This window comes from Homo sapiens, chromosome 7 (assembly GCF_000001405.40).
Source record: "Homo sapiens chromosome 7, GRCh38.p14 Primary Assembly".
NCBI classification, from domain to species: domain Eukaryota; kingdom Metazoa; phylum Chordata; class Mammalia; order Primates; family Hominidae; genus Homo; species Homo sapiens.
This window is the reverse complement of record NC_000007.14, coordinates 18,520,410-18,538,460: the sequence shown is the minus strand read 5'-3', so window position 1 is coordinate 18,538,460 and position 18,051 is coordinate 18,520,410. Positions and strand designations below refer to the sequence as shown.

General features: G+C 35.1%; 1 protein-coding gene across 40 annotated transcripts in view, besides 1 other annotated feature; it reads right to left on the bottom strand.

Annotated features, from left to right (window-relative positions):
* HDAC9 (histone deacetylase 9) overlaps positions 1-18,051 on the bottom strand; it is a 915,592-nt gene that overhangs the window by 463,956 nt on the left and 433,585 nt on the right. The window lies entirely within an intron of this gene.
* Positions 16,215-16,294: a silencer, noted in NCBI's record as "silent region_17987". NCBI's record gives its function as "represses an Ori minimal core promoter by ATAC-STARR-seq in GM12878 lymphoblastoid cells {active_cell/tissue: GM12878}" and the evidence as "EXISTENCE:reporter gene assay evidence [ECO:0000049][PMID:35858748]".

Here is an 18,051-nt window from a genome sequence, read left to right as displayed (position 1 = left end):
TGTCAGACTGTCCTTTCATCTACCACAACATAAATGTCAATGAGAATGAAGCGATAAATTCCTGTCACGGTTTCTAAGTATGCAACTCACAGACTTTACTTTTACTCCTTAACATACCACCATACTTAACTAGTATGTTTATTTCACAAGGCTGTGGCTGAGCTGTGTGATAATTAGCAAACTGATAAACAGGACCTGTCACTAGTAGGATACCAGACAACACAGATAAACATCATCAAGTCTAGGAACAGGAGGACTAAATGGAAAGTGAGACCCCACGGGAGAATGTAAGTTAATGCATGACCAGAAAATGAATTCAGGGTGAATGCCAGAGAAATGTACAGAAAATAACAGCAGACAATTGTTACAGAAAAAAACTACTGTAGTTTCCCTCTTTCCATACAATCAAGACTGTAGAAGAATGAGTGGTCTACTACAAAGTAAGTCCATTAAGCTTGTGAAGCACAGAATAGAGCAGAGGTCACGTTGGGCACAGAGGATGATGCTGCCTGAGGTTATGAAGGACTGAAGGCAAGGCCCATCAACTGAGGCCTTAGGAAAGCTGCTGGTCTACCTCTTCACTCTTGTGGCTAAAACTGAAGTGCTCAAGTTCAAGATTTGGGCATTTTCAAGATTTTCAATGTCTGTGGCCACTAAGTAGATACTCAGACATTAGCTACATCTCTCTGGAACTTAACTATTCTCCCGCATAACTTTTGGGTCAGACTGGGATGAACCAGTATTCCCTCCATATACAAAAATCCAATGGCTTTCTCTGTATGTAAGGGAATTTCCAAGGACTTAGAACCTTAAGGTTACTTCTGGCTTTAACTTCCTGTTTCCACTAAATTATTGTTTTTGGCTTTGCATTTTCCACCTTTATCCCTGTCCTGGCATTGATTCTGTTGTTGACAGAAATTAGAAAAAAAAAAAAGTTTCTGCTTTTGATCCCTATTTATTTTATTTATTTAAAAATAAATCACTCATTAATTTGTGGTCTTTTTGTGGGCATTTGATTTTATTGTAGCATTGGAGATGAGTGCAGCACAATCACTGTAAAATGCAATTCGATACAAGCTATTTTTCAAGTCTATTGGCTCCTCTCTCTTATTCCTTTTCCAAACCTTTTCTCCTCTATCCCAAACCCCTTAGTTTGGTTCCATTCCTCTAGAAACAACAACGATAACAGATATGTTTCTTCCATTCTCCTGGCAGAGAGATTCAACTCTCTCCTTCACCTGTCCCAAAATTTAGTCCTTAGTCTCTTCTGGTAGTTTTTGTTAGAAGATGAGAAAGCAGAATGGAGAAGCATGGAGACAATTTTTTATTCAGGATACACTTAAAATGTTTGCTTTACGATTATTCCTGTTAGTTAAATTTTTGTAGTAGAGTGAGAGTAAGTTAGCCCCATAGTTCAGATGATCCCAAGAGAGTCAGGAGAACGTGGAAATGTGTTAGCAATAAGGATATTCTAGTAAACTAATTTCCAGGGGAAGCTGGGAGAAAGCACACACAGATATACACATAGTATTTTATGCAAGCATTTATTTCATAAATGTGTTAACTTTTTAAATATTTTAGAATATTCTATCTTCCAAAAGAGTAGTAACTATAACTAACTTATTTAATACCCTCCCTAGTATATTCTCTTGAATTTACAGAGGCTTATGGAGGATTTTTGTTGTATACAATTTAGTTAATAATCTCCTATTTCCTTAAAGTACCTTAACATTCACACGTGTTTTCCTTAACCCAAGAGCTCTTATATATCCAGAATTTTAATCAGATGAATCATTCAGGGTGGTTTAAATTTCCATATAAGTAAAGGTCAAACACTGGAACCATAATGTATTAGCTAGATTAAGTAGAAGTCTTCTTAAACATATACATGATCCTTATGTTCTTAAATAGAATATATTGAATGTAACTGAATGTTTCCTCACTGAATGTGGGTCATCCTGAAAATTAAATATTTCACTTTTTGTACATATAATAATGTCCTGTTGAGGAATACGTAATTGTTCTCCAAATCTAAATAGTTCTTTCTTATTTTGGGCTCTTCCAAATTAAGTTACAAATTTTAGTTCAAATTTGTGGTTTAGGTGGGAGCTGATTCGGGAAAACATCATGCTTATAGTAGAGTAGAGAAATGAGACAGTAAAGGAAGGCAGCCAAGAAAGCAGGCAGATTACCACAGTGACAACTGGAGCTTCATCCTTCCAGGGACCTCTGGTCACCAGTGCACAACACATACTTTAGACTTAACCAAGGGGCAAGGAAGCTGGGATATTTACACATCAATTCTGCCAGTCATTCATTGCAGGCTGCTTCCTGGTGGCATTAATTCTCTGGCACTTTTAACCTGTCATGCACCTGGGTTGCAGTGTAGGCTTGAACTACAAAAGAAAGCTCTGAGGCAAAGAGAGGTTTATGCAGACAAGAGCCAGGCCGGGGAACATAAAAATGACAGAGCCCTGGGAGGTTTGAGTGGGGCATCTACAGCTTCTCCTACAAGCTCCTAATAGGAATGTGAGTTGCTTTGGCTACCATCTGGTTCCCCTCTCTTCCTCTTTATTGTAGAGTTTCATTGATCATTCCTTGTCTGTTCACAGGCTCCCTCTTATTTTCTTCTGTTTTGTTTGCTAAGTTCTGTGTATTTGAAATGTAAATTTCAAAAGCTGTTGTACTTGGTTATGAAATAGAAGTAAATTTTTTTTTTTTTTTTTTTTTTTTTTTTTGCTTAATGCCTTTATGGGCTATCCCCAGAAAAATGTTTGTAGATTCAATGCAAACGTTGTTTCAAAGCCATTTCTGATACTTTCTTTTTCTAGCATTTGTTATCAATAAAATGAGATTGTTGGATAATTGAGTTCTGCATGGATGAGCTATTAATAAAGAAATGAATGTATGTAGATATAATAGAGATCATCATTGAGAGAGATCACAAATGTCCATCACAAATTTTAATCTTATGACATCCTCATTAAAATTATAGATGTAAATATATCAGGTCCATGGCAATAATGGGCTTCCGCAGTAGTCTATTTTAGGAACTTTCTCAGAATGGCTCCAGTATTATGAACTTAAAATATTTCATATTATAAATAATAATAAGAACATCAACAATAATATTTATTATATCAATTTGGGGGTGATTTAAAAATTGTATGACTTCTGAATAAAAATGATGGATTGACCAAATGCATTTATTTCTACTCCCTTCAGAAATGCCATAAAATGACAGTAAAAGAATTAAAATGCTATAAACCTACAGCAAAAAAAGAAGAGGGAAGAGATGACAAGAATGAGCAGGAGAGTTCAGTGAATTGCTGAAGATGGAAAGTGAGTTGGATAGTGATTAACAGCCCCACTGAAAGGAGAAAGCACAACCCGAAGTAACTGCAGTGAGTGAGCAACAAGCAGCCTCATGCCAGAGAATCCCTAAGAGGTTCAGAACTTGCAGAAAGGCACAGAGGAAGACGAGTGGTCAAGCGCAAGGTCAAAAGCGCAGGGACTGGTTTAAGGTCTGATTGTAGCATCCTTAAATCACCATGCCCATACCCTCACAGCCAAGACATTTCTCCTCCTCTCTAAGTCCCTGCCACTCTCTGTATTTACTACCCTTCTTTTCACTAGAAGAATAAAGAGTTATTCCCTGGACAAACAAAACTGAGGTGAGGCCACAGCTCTAGCAGAAACGTGGGACACAAGAGCTGCACAGTGGTGGATCGAGTGCAGTTCCACAAAGCACACTCACCCATCTACTTCCCCAGCTCTGGCAAACAAGCACGTTGCCTTCAAGTAGAAGCTGGGAAAATTCTTTCCTTGAGACACCTAACGACTCATAAGGTGAGAAATGCAGACACTAGTACGCAAGGATTCTCTCTTTTTCTCTCTCTCTCTAAATTTTTTTTTAGACAAGGTCTTATTCTGTTACCCAAGCTGAAGTGCAGTGGCACAATCATAGCTCACTTCAGCCTTGACCTCTAAGGCTCAAGTAATCCTCCTGCCTCAGCCTCCAAAGTAGCAGGAACTACAGGCATGCACTGCCATGCCTGGCTAATTTGTTGTTGTTGTTGTTTTGTAGAAACAGGGTCACACCGTGTTGTCCAGGCTGGTCTCAAACAGCCCTCCTGCCTCAGCCTCCCAAAGTGCTAGCATTACAGCTGTGAGCCATCACGCCTGCACATGCAAGGATTCTTTCTAACCACATACACACAAACACACATGTACCCACTGAAAGGGCTGCTAAATGTCCATGCCGTCTATACCAGAACCCCTCTATGCTACAATTGCCACACAAATGATGAGCTTCCAAAGATCAAATGCTCATTTTAAATATGAAGGCTCCCAACACGCAGGAGAGATCAAAACAAACATGAAAGGAGGAGAGCAGAGAAAAAGTATAAAGTGCACGCAGAAAAATTAAAATGTGGTTAACTATAATTAATAGCCTCTATCGAATAGAGGAAGTTACCTACTACATTAAAATAAAGAACGGTGCACTTTGATGAAAAACTTAAAAAAAAATTTTAAACTCTTTGAAATTAAAAACTCAGTAACTTAAATTAAAATGTCACTAAATGTTCTTGAAGACAAAGTGAACTAAATCTACCTGAAAGAAAATACAATTAGACTCTAATCAGAAGGTCTAACACTGAACTAGTAAGAACTGCAGAAAAATAAGAGTAGAGAACACAAAGGAGAAGAAGTTATATTAAAGAAAGGAAAATAATTCGAGTGAGTATCTAAATACTGAAAACATAAGCCTCCAAGGTGAAAGAGGCCATAGAATAACCGAGAAAATGAATAAGGTAAGATACACTGTTATACAATTTTAGAACCACAGAGATAAAGAGAAGATTCTAAAAAGCTTCCAAATGTGTTGGGGAAGCCAAATGCAAAGGAAAGAGAGTCAAATTGGGACTAGAACTCACAATAATTTTCCACAAGGGTTCTATGCCCAGTCATACAAATCTATCATTGAAAAAGATAGAAAAATGACATTTTCAGGTATGTAAAAATTCAACAAATATAAGCTATTGTAAAATATTCTTCTGAAAATTAAAACAAAAATAAAACCGACAAAGAAGCTACAAGAATCCAAGAAAGAGAGGATTACGCAAAAGAACAGCAAAGGAACAGACCAAGGATGAGTGGGGAGCCTAAAGCAATTAGTTCCCAATAGAGAAAGAAGGCTGGAAACTCCCGGAGAAAATAGAGTTGAAGTGCTGCAGGTGTGGAAAATATTTATTTTTAAGCACATGGTAGAAACATGCAAGTATACAAAACCAGATAAATAGAGGGTACGATTTTGCAATGAACTTCAGAAAAAAGCCTAAGTTGAACTTGAAAATTGACATGGTTATAATACATGACTTGGTTCAGCAGTAAACATTTGACTAGTCATATAAATACTATTGATTTGATTCAACTACTGGGAAGAGTAGAGAAGAAAAGTGTACATATTTGTGTGTGTGCACACACACAAGCACACTCCTGTGGGTGAACACATATGGGTACAGGGGAACCTCCTCATCTCACAGGCTGAGAAAACAATGCATAGTGCTTAAAATGCATAAACAAATAATTTTCTAAACGGATATGTTATTTAGAAATATTAAAGTTAAAAAAAAAAACAGAAGAAAGCCAGAACTGTTGAAGGTAGTTGCTGCTGTGGAGTGAAAAGGAGGATTGGGGAGAGGCAGAGTAGAGAACTGCTATTTTCATTAAAAGACCTTTTCCTTTTTAAACTAAATGCATGACTTACTTTGATTTAAAACAAAAACGGTATAGGATCAATATATAACGTTTTGATAATTTTACTTGTTCACTCATAGAGAACCCAAAATTCAAATCGGTGTTTAATGCCTGAACAGCTCTCACGATAGTCAATATTCAGAGTAGAGAGAAGAGGCATAAACAAGAAGTTTATGATGTTCTAAGAAAATCATATAATTAAACAAGAAAGAACAAATTAATTTTTGGAATTGGTATATTTTAAATGAATAATTAGACCACTTCTCTTCCCATCCCTGTATCCAGAAATAATCAAATGCATTAATCTTGCTTTAGAATCATACCTCTAGGAGAGCTCATAATCTTACTGTAGGCAACAGTGTTCCTGGATGGCCAAAATGTGATGCCTTAGTATGGAAGTATTTTAATTCTTTGTGGTTTTTTGTTTGTTTGTTTTGGTTTTTTGTTGTTGTTGTTGTTCTGAGATGGCGTCTCACAGGCTGGACTGCAGTGGTGTGATCTGGGCTCACTGCAACCTCCACCTCCCAGGTTCAAGCAATTCTCCTGCCTCAGCCTCCCAAGTAGCTGGGACTACAGGTGTGCACCACCATGCCCAGATAATATTTTGTATTTTTAGTAGAGACAGGGTTTCACCATGTTGGCCAGTCTGGTCTCAAACTCCTGACCTCAGGTAATCCACCTGCCTCGGCCTCCCAAAGTGCTGGGATTACAGGCTTGAGCCACTGTGCCCAGCCTTTTAATTCTTTAAATATAAAATGAAAGCTTTGGACCAAAAAATGTATTTGACAATTTTTTTCCAGAAGCACCAAATTTTGACAAAACATAAAAGAGTTCATTTCTCATCACACGTCAACTTTTTAAACATTTCCTTTACTTGTTTGCATTGAAATGGAGTTCAATAGAACTCCAACAGTAGAAGTGTGGTTCTCGGAGGTTAAGGGTATTGAGTTTTGCTTACACAAGCACATTAGAGGCCGAACTACATTGTATAGTTAAAGAGTTAGGGGGTAAAAGTATGAAAGGAACAGAGGATTTTTTCCTTTCCATTTTCTTATTTATAGGAAATCCAGTATTTTGTCTATTAAAGACTGTCAAGGAGCAACATATAGGTCATGCATTAACTTGATTTTCTTTAATCATAGGGGAAAAATGACTTTTTATATTTTTATAAGGTTTTCAAAACTTAAAGTTTTTTTCAAGAGTACATTTCTCATTTGGTTCTTAATTACATACATATTAGCACATCACAGGAAAGAATTTAAAGAAATTAAATTAAGATAAATCATTCAACAATTTCCTGCAGTTTATGTCAAGTGGTTTAAATTCTTATTTTCTTAAGTAAAAGAGTAATTTGAGTGTAACCACATTCCTTAATAAAGCATATTTATATGATGCTTACAGTTTGCTAGTCCACTTACTTACTTTCCAAATCATTCAGATCCACACATATCTCAACAACTTAGAAACCAGTTAAGAGAATTATTCTTCCTGAGGTTTCTGAACACTAATTAATAATAATTATTATAATAAATGAATGAACTAAGAATAAAGTAAGTATAGTTTGAAGCAGGGGAGAAAAGAGAAAAATTGGTGAGTTATTCTTATTACCATGCATTAAGTCAATAGACAATGCTGAAAGTGAATAAAGCAAGAATATTATTTAAAGACAGAGAGGTTGCACTAGAAGCATACGAGTAAAAAATTGTTAAAATGGCTAATATGGGAGGCAGGGCTGGAGTACTGAAACGAGTCGGGCTGAAGCTGAAGTGAAATAGAGGATAATTTCTTTTCACTGTAAGCCTTTATATACCGATTGATTTTTTTAACTATGTATCTATATTTAAATTCTCACACTTTTATAAGTGTTACATATATGTATTTATATATACATATACACATACATATATAAATATATATTTTATATATATAATTAAGCATTCAAAACTTTTACAAACATGAAGTACATCAGAAGACTGTGACACTGGGGGAAATCCCTCAGGAAGCTGGATGGAGCCAGATGGTGAGTTCACAATGCATGACCAATAGCCTATTTCTGAACTTTGAATAAAATAAAAAGTTAATGAATGTAAAATAAGAAACTTCACACCCTTTCAGAGACTTCTCAACAAGTTTCTTTTTTTTCTAGAAGATTTTGCAGTAGCTAAAAATCCTCCCTGCCAGCTCATTAAATGGAAAACCAGTATAAATCATTTGTTAGAGCTACACAGCATTAGAAGTAGCTTTAGCAAGGGTGCATTTTTTTTTTGTTCAACACCATTGAACATTGTTTCTATTCTGAAGCAGTCATGTGTTGGCTAACTTCACATCAGCAAGTGTCCCTCAACTCTGGGGACAGCTTCCATAAAGTGTTAACGACATTGTTTTCAGATAGAACATACATTATTTTATAATTGTTCCATTCTTTTTTGTTTTGTTTTAAGACAGGATCTCACTCTGTTGCCCAGGCAGAACAGGAGTGGCATGATCATGGTTCACTACAGCCTCAACCTCCCCAATCCTTCCACCTCAGCCTCCCATGTGCCACCATGCCTGGCTTATTTTTTTTATTTTTATTTCTATTTACGTAGAGACTGGATCTTGCTTTGTTGCCCAGCCTGGTCTCAAACTCCACTTGAACTTGGGTTCAAGTGATCCTCCTGCCACACCCCCCCAAATTGCTGGGATTACGGAAGTGAACCACCGTGCCCGACCTGTAATTATTCCATTCTTAAAGCACTAAATGTGTATTTTAAAAAAATAATTACAGTAGAAATTAAATCTAGTTTTTATGGATAAGTAATGGGACAAGCAGAGCAAAATGCTGGATTTTATGATTCATTTTAAAAGAGTGAATGTCATGGAAAATCATGAACCACATCAGATCAATGAAAACCAATAAAGATTTAAAAAAATTGGTGCAATAAAGATTTTAAACATTGGTGAATCCAATGAGTTCAAGACTCTTTCCTCAACAATGTATGAATGCATTTTCTTAATTCTAAAACAACTAAAGAAATGATTGAGAAAAAACAAGTCTATGGATGAAATAAACTACATAATGTATATAACCATAAATACACGAAATACACACAATTATCAGTTTTCTTTTCTGTTATGTTAAAGTTATTATGGGAAGCTTCTCAAATTCTTTTAACAAACAAACCCTAGGGACTAATCCACTAACTTCCTCAATCTACTTTGGCATCTACTTTGGAAATCTATACAAGCATTCATGTAAATACCAAACTAAGTGTTGGATGAAAACTTAACTTGGAATTGGCTAAAGTAAAATCTCTGTCCTTATTCTGGGACAATACCTCCCCATTTTTATTGGCTGCTTTCCTACCACTTTTGATTTGCTTTTATGCCCATCTTTTTATTTACTTTTATGTCCTATGCCAACTGACAACCTTAGGAAGATGAGGAAGGAAAAGAAGGGGGAAGGAGATGAGAGGCAGCTTTCCTTGGAAGGTTATCTGGATGACATTTGACCATTTTTCAAAAGATTTTTTTTTTCTTCTCTGGTTATTTTCTGTCTCCTATTTTTAATTTTCTTCTTGGCTACAGAAATTTTCCACTCATTGTTATTTTGTTTAGCTGTTTGAGGCTCTCTTAACATTGAGTCATATAAGAAAAAAGGTTTAATACCCAGACAAATGTTTGGGAATAAAGAGATTCACATGACAGAAGGATAAAGACATCAAGCAAGAAAACAGAAATGTAATACAAATACCCCAGAAAAACTCTGATGGCTAAAATAGCCATTTTATCTCATGTTTTTTACTTATGTGGTTCCTTTGTAAATAGGTATAATTCCAAATATGCACACCCTAGACTGGGCAGGAAATTGTTAAAGTTAGAAAGAAGAGTGGAGGTAGAGAGGTATCACTTTCTAATAATACTTCATATGTTGAAACATGGTCAACTATATTCCATAATAAGTCCCATGCTCATCGATTCCTGTCTCCTTATGTATCTATCACTACTATAAAATTCATTGTTATTAATACTGTTAGTACAAAAGTATTTGTAAATTGGTAAAATTTTATCACTTTTAGAAATGATTTCCTAGAATAAAATTCCTATTAAAGGGAATTATTCTGGTACATAATTATGAGTTTGCTAAGTAATTTTTAATGCCCTGAAAAGTAAGTAAAGTGGCAAAGAAGAGAAGACTAAACCTTAATTTTAAAGGTGATATTTCAAATTTTTAACTAAAGGATCTGACAGTCCATTTGGTCTGAAAACCCAGAAGATAATTCATTCCATTTCCTTCACTGGGCTTATAAATATATCATTTTACCTAATTTTTTTCTGTTTTCACTTATATAAAATGTTATTTGTTCTAATATGCTATATTAGTATTTCTCATTTCTTCTTACCAGCTCCAAAATCTATTTTCTGAAAAATAAGCAAATTAATTCGACCTAATTTAAAAAAAAAAAAATACTTCATGGAAAACTTCTACAGAAGCACCCTCGACCTCCCCAATCCTCCCACCTCAGCTTCCCATGTGCCACCACACCTGGCTTACTTTTTTACTTTTATTTTTATTTTTATTTTCGTAGAGACTGAGTCTTGCTTTATTGCTCAGCCTGGTCTCAAACTCCACTTGAACTTGAGTTCAAGTGATCCTACTGCCTCGCCCTCCCAAATTGCTGGGATTACAGAAGTGAACCACCATGCCCGACCTATAATTATTTCATTCTTAAGGTACCAAATGTGTATTTTTTAAAAATAACTACAGTAGAAATTAAATCCAGTTTTTATGGATCAGTAATGGGACAAGTGGAGCAAAATTCTGGATTTTATGATTCATTTTACAGAACTGTAAACTGTAAACTGTCTCCTACAGAAGATAGTTTCCATGAACTTTAAACAACTTCTGTATAGAAGTTGTTATAGATAAACATTCTGGTAGATTTGAAACTAGAAAAAATAATAATACAATTTTTCAGCATTTAGATCCCACGTGAATATATTAATACAAGAAAATCATAGGTTGATCCTTAAAATTTTTACATTTTAATTTGATCAAACATCCTCTGTAAAAATTATTTACCAAAAATAACTACCAAATTCTGTGTAAAATGTCAGACTCCTAATTATAATTCTTAGAATGACTTTTGTATTGTGAATGCTAATTTAGATAAAACCAAAAGAGGGATTTTTTTCGGTATTATCACAAATCTAACAACTTCCTCATTGAGCCACAACATATCGTTCAGTGACTTTCAAATCTAATTCTGAGATATTACCCAGACACCCTCAGTAATTTTCTCAATGTTTAAACTTTTTTCCAACATTAACTTACTTAGATACATATAGTCCATATAGCAAAAGGAGAGGGAGGCAACTGTGAAAAACAAAGAAGGTAAAATTGAGATCATTCACCTTTAAATAAAATTATCCAAAAGACATGCAAGTTTCACTCTCCAACAAATTTTTCTCAAAAATTAGTATCAGGTAGCATTTCAAAAGGTAAAAGAAGAACATTAGAGCCACTACCACTTCCTAGTCCTTTCTCTTAGTGTTCTTCCATTTTTCTTCTTAATTACAGTCCAAGAAACAGGGCCTGAGGATCATGTGGAAATGATCTTTCATTATTAAATCCATGTGAATTTCTACTTAATAACCTCAAGAACTCTTTTCTATCCATTATTCTTGTAAAAGCTCACCTTTTTCTATACTAAATCATTTAATATTGCTGACTTTTATTGTTATAATCTCTAGAATGTAGACTGCTACTCTTCATTCTGGCTTACCTTTCTTTCAAAGACATTGTCTCTGAATTTCTTATTGACTAGACAGAACATTTTTTAAAGCTCAACCTAAGACCCCCTTGTCTTTGAATTAGTTACTATGCTCCATGCTCCTATCTGACCCTATCTATCCTTTTCTCTCAGGCTGTACTTCAGGATACTGTTAAGATCTAGTTGAGTTTTTTTCTTTTTAAGTTATGTAGGCTATCCTAAGCCATAGATCCTTTGTACTACAAATAGAACTGGTGCAGTTAATTGAAGGCTTCCTGCTGCTGTATATAGTCAGCTACTGAGGTAGTTTAAAATTTCAGTCAGTTCTTATAACATGCAGCCAAAGGCAACTTTAATTTCCTCTGACACCCTTATGAGATTAGCTTTGATAATATGTTTTGGTGACACATTGACAAGAACTAGATGTTCCCACTGTTTGCATCTATTGTATTACAACTACTAGAGTCTGGATCTTCAGATGTAGGTATAAAGTAGTAATAAAGGCACAGTGTCAGTTGAAATATCTACAACAAAAGTTTCCATTGCTCATAAAATACCACCCCTTTAGTATTTTGCTATCTTTATAGGTAGTGACCATTAATTTCTAATAGTTTACTTTGCAGTGTTCACAGCATGCTTCTTTTTGGCATTGGGGGTGGTCAATGGGGAGACTTGTATATCAGTCTAATAGGAAGATGATTTAAGACACAAGAATTCTCAAATAGTAACAACTTATAAATATTGCTATACAATTCCAACAAAATAGTATAAATTACAAAGCTCATGTGATAATCCATTATGCAGACTTATTAAATTATTTCAAAATTGCTTTGTGAACCTTTCCTATGCAGATTGCTGGCTTCTTGAAGGAAATAATTATTTATGTACCCCTAAAAAGTACCTAAAACAGTGACTTTCATCTGGTGCAGAACAAATGTTGAGTAGCAGGCAAAGAGATAAAAGTGGGGAAGCCACAAGACATTATGTCTTTGGTGGTGAGAGAATGTGGACTGCTGCAGAGGCAAGACTGGCAGCAAGAACTTAAGAGTCAAGTAAGCCAGAAATCGTATGCAGAAAGTAAGTGAAACATGTACAAAAACTAGGGATTGTAATTTCTCAAAGTCAGGTAGAACCAAGGCCAAAGGATCTAAGTTCCAGGGAACAGATATACAGCATCCTATTCTGTTCTGAAAGACTAGACTTAGTTGTACAGGCAACAGTCCTATACTCAAAGAGAGGTCCCATTTCATCAAGGATTAATATATTCTATGTTTCAGCAGCATTTCTAATTTTAAAGACACAATACAGTATATATGAAAAACTGGGAACTAGGACTATATAAACAGTAGCTTTTAAAAAAAGCAAAGCAATGCAGTTTACAAAAATATGGATTGAGCAAAATTGTTTAGAATGAACATTAACATCCATAGGAATTATTTTATTAAGACTGCATGTAATTTAGAGAAGTATAGTTTAACCAAAGAATTATATTTATTTTAAGAATACTCACACAGTAATTTTAAAGATTTATCTTGTATGATCACCAAAATGATTAAGAAATTTCAAGTAGAAAAGGACAAAAGATACAAAATCCTTGGTATTTTTAGGTACTTTAAAATATTTAACGCAATTAGATTTTTTTCATCAGTTACTATTTTTTTAAGTCGCCAATATTATTTGTTCTAGTGTTATATCTGGTCTCTATCCAAGTCATTACATGTTTTTTCAGCTGTCAACACATTTGCTCCAAAATTAAATTTATCAAATAATTAGTAATTATTTTCCTGTAAAAGCAACTGAGGAAACACATTATTGCATGGAAATCTATGAGGCTTTACTGATTCAGACTGATTTATTAGGATTTTTCTAGTTTGTAATGAATAGCATACTAAAAAAATTAAATCCATTACTATTATTAAATCTTAAAATGATTTTAAAGTCTCATAAGATTTCTTGGGTAGTATATTAAAATCATTATACTACATTTAGAACAGCAGTATTTTCCTTGCGTATACATATTTTTCCATATATATACTTATCTGTAATGTGTGTGTGTGTGTGTGTGTGTGTGTGTGTGTGTGTGTATGTCACTAAGTTTTATTTCAAAATCGTCTACCCAAAATCTTTTACACAGGCTCTCCATCTACTCTTCAACTCAGGGGTTTGGGAGGTAATAATCCATTAGGCAGTGCTATATAACTCATATCCACTCACTCCAATTCACTCTCTCAATCTCTCTGTATCTCTCAATCCCTAGAAGAGAGACAGAGTTAAGAATGGGAAAATATATATTCCTATCCTCTTAATCTTCCTTTGCCCCAAACATAAACTTTATTTTCAATAAAATTTTTGTTTTTAAACGTTATGCTATTGGTGTTAGATTTAAATATCTTGCAGCCACAAAACATAATATGTTGCTATCCTGAATCCAACTTTTGTACATGTTGTATGATTGTCTTTACGTGGACAAACTACTAATAATAGCAGAGAGTGAGCACCCCTCTCAACTACAGCTGACTGCAGGCCTCATCACAAAGTCGATGGCTGAAGCAATTTCACTCCCCTAAATGAGAAAAAGCAATAACCCACATCTGAAATTTACAGCTGAGGAGTAATTATGAGTTTAAAATCCCTGCAATTCTTGTTGGAGACTATAGTTAGAGTTCTCTTAGAGTATTAATATACAAAGTTGTTAACTTTCAGTCCCTACAAGAAATATGGCAGTTAATTACATGAATTATCATGCTCACATTCACTACACAGGTAAATAGATGCTATCTGTGTAGATATGAATGTATGCCAAGGCCCAATCTCTATATACCTTCCATACTTGAGTACCTATCCTGAGAATAGCTAACCCAGCCAGATGAAGAAGTGCTTCTTTCCCCTCTATGTTTTCATAGTGTAAGGTTTTCCTACTCTCAGTGTTGCTCTACACTTCATTTTGTGATAGTCAATCAATGTTACCTACCAAGCTCCACGCTTATTCTGCCAGTCCAGGTGAATAGCAAGACAAGCAATGGGAAGCAGGGCGGAGCGGGGAGGGGGAGGTGGGGGAGGGCGGGGTCTACATTTAAATCTCCTCATCTGTCTCTTGTGTAATTCCTCACCTTAACAATCCTTCTCCAATCCTTTGCTGAAAATCTTACCTTCATAAAAATTACCTACTCTAACTACTCTATGTGATGGTGCACCTTTCTCTCCCAACTCATGAACCACCTTTCTCTGCCCTACCTTTTGTTCATCTAACAGCACCATTTCTAACCAATTACATAATTATGTACATTTATAATTTATTATCAGTCTCCCAACACACACACACATATACATGTGCAAACAGTGTAGATTTCACATTCCACAAGGGCAAATATATAAGGTTGTTTTGCTCTGTCATCTATTTTGGCACGAAGATAATGTCTGGCACATAAGAGACACTCAAAAAATAATTAATGAATGAATAATGGCAACACATCTACCCAGTTATGAATGTGGAAATCTCAGACTCTGAATTTGTCCCTTTACCTCTTGCATGAATTCCCAATTTATCTCTTTCTGGTCCTTCCAGTTCACTCTTACTATTCTCTCCCTATTCCTTGCTGGGCACTTCTAGTTAATAGTTAGAGGTTATGTGATAATTACACAACCCATTTTAAGGAGTGTCCCATCCTTTATACAGCAGCTAAAGTTACTTTTCCAAGAAGTATTTCTGATCATGCAGCTCTTCTTAAAATCCTTTAGAAGTTCAAAGTCACTAGCTTTGCATGGAATTAAAGGTCCTTAATCATCTGTCTCCTGCCTGGTTTGCAGTGTCATCTCCAGCCATGGCAACATTATAGATCATGTCCTCCAACCATCTTCAAAAACACTGAACTCCCCTTCATTTATTTCCTTTGAAAGGCTTCCCAGGCCTTCTCAATATTGCAAAGTCTAGTTTTAGCACCTATTCTCTCATGTTTACTTTGCCTTTTTCCTCCACTCTAGACAATGTGCTCTTGGAAGCAAGACACTACATCATTTACTTTGGCCTAAATACAGTGGACATCCATAAATGCTTGTTAATTAAAGTTATTCAGCCTCTTTGAGCTCAGTTTCCTCACTTGTTAAATGATTTTTACCACCTACAAAGAGGATTCCTGGGAGAAACAAATAAAACATTATACATTGAAAATTCATAGCACTTAATGGTCACTGAATGTTATTAATCCTTCTTAAGACATATCATGGGCTCCATTTCAATTACCTCACCTACAGCGCTTAAATAAAAAATAGACAGGACAAGAAATAAGAGAGGCATGTTTGGTTTGTTTGCTCATTAGATGTTTTTTTTTTTGTTTTTTGTTTTTTGTTTTTTTTAAAAAAACCACCCTGCTTTTTTTTTTTCAGTATTAACAATTGAGCTTTATGATGTAGAAGCTAAGATACTCTGTCATGTCCAGTTATATGCTTGGAAAGAAACTGGACTGGAATTCATGATTAATCCTCAGGATTGAGACAAGAAATGAAAATGTGGCCAGACAGCTAGGGGTGCACTCTTAGCATATTGTTGGGAGGCCCTGGCTCCTTAAGAGTTTCCCAGCACGGAGCTTTAGTCCTCTCCATCCCTGTCCTTTCTTTGTTAAAACGTCTATCCCCACATCTAAAGAGCACTTACTAATCAGGTATCTTTTGGTTTAGTCTTTCAGAGTGTGTGGCTGTTAGTTCTGAATGGCCCTAAGTGCTTTTTTGTACTTAGTGGAGCCAACTTAGCCATTCACAGAGAAGCAATCTCTCTATAAATGAACAGATTTTCACACGTGGGCTGTAATATATGCATAACACATTTCTCGCGGTGTTAATTTTGGTCTAACATCCTCCTGTTGGTCTTGATTACCTTGGAGACTTACATCCTGTCTTCTGTATATATGTAGTTGTTAGTCACTTCTACTAAGTTGTCTCACCACCATTTCTCAAGAATGATAACAGAAGACACAATATTTCAATAACTGATTTTTCCTTTCAACAAATGTTCATTCAACCTCCTGTTTCCAGACATCGTACTAAGGCTTAGTCAAATCTAAACCTCGTGTAAAACTCTAAAATGCTGTAAAGGTCCAGCTAACTTTGTAGTAAAAATAAATGGAATCATTTCAGAATATTAATTGAATGTTTTTTTAAAAACAATACTAAGTAAAATGTAAATCTGAATATAGGTTCACTTCAAATTTATTATCGTTTTTCTAAAAACTGGAAATCCTAGACTGTTGTTTATTATTAGTCATATTATTGATATGGCTGCAAGTCAAACATAATCTGAATTGAACGTATCTTGAGAAAACAACAGCATACGAATAAATATGGTGAGACAGTATGGTGATAAATGCCATTTGGGATAGCATATTAATGGTGAAAAAATAGATAGCAATTTTTTAATTGGGAGTATTAGAAGCTTTATCCATTTTGCTTATTTTATTCATGGTGTGCAAATCAAATAGATGGACGACTGGACACAAATTCTGTGTAAATGATCTATATTGTGACAAATCGCAAGGCATCTGGTTAAGTGAGATATCTCCCTTGGGAAATAAAACGAAACAAGAAGTGTTTTTCTTCTTAAAAATCTGTACCCTGGTAGATAGGATCCAACATAAAATTAAACATCTCATCTAACTTTTCCAATGCCATGTTTCCAAAAGGAAATTACATTAAATTTGTCCATTCAAAATGCAAAAAGCAAGACATCCAAGAATGAGGTTTGTAGCAGAATGTAATTTTAAAGACATGATTTTTCTCCATTACTGGAGATATCAAACATTTTAAAAGCCTGTTCTTTCCTAATTGGATTCCAGATCATTATTTTTTTGGCCAAAAAAGAAAGGTTTTCTGCATTCTTAAAATAATTAGGCAAGATTTCAAATCAAATTATCCAATTTCAAACCTCTATTTTTCTCTCTAAAACGCCTGTTAGAGGAGGACTGCCGATGACTAAGCTTTGTGTCATTCTCATGGCTTTATTAGGAGAATGTTCTAAGTCCTTCACTTTCTATGTAATCAGAACTATAATTTCTTCAGGTTATTTTAAGACCCAGCTATGGCTAAAGCAGGAAACTCAATTTTATTCTGAGCTGTAGACATGTCGACACAGCAGAGCAGGGCTCCAGCTTTCTGGGCTATCTTCTTTCATAAACCCTCTTGCTTGGTGTCAGACCAAGGCTCTAGGCTAGTTGTACTTACTCTCTGGGTGTCAGGTAACTGTTTCCAAGACATTTACGGTAGTAGGACTGTTATTTTGGAAAATATGTGTTGACATATTATTATTCTACAAATGAACAGCTTACTTGTCCAGAGAGCACCACTCTTCATTACATCAATTCGAAAATCATATTCAACAGAAGGGCAGTTGAGAAAACCCAGGTGCCAGAAACATTTGATAAAAAAGCAGAACAGAAAGCTCATATGTCTACATGGTTCATCATACTCCCTTAGAATTTTATAACTTAATTAACCAACTCCATTTAGGCTTGCTTAGTTGCCTCTAATTATTCAGAAAAATTTTCTGTGT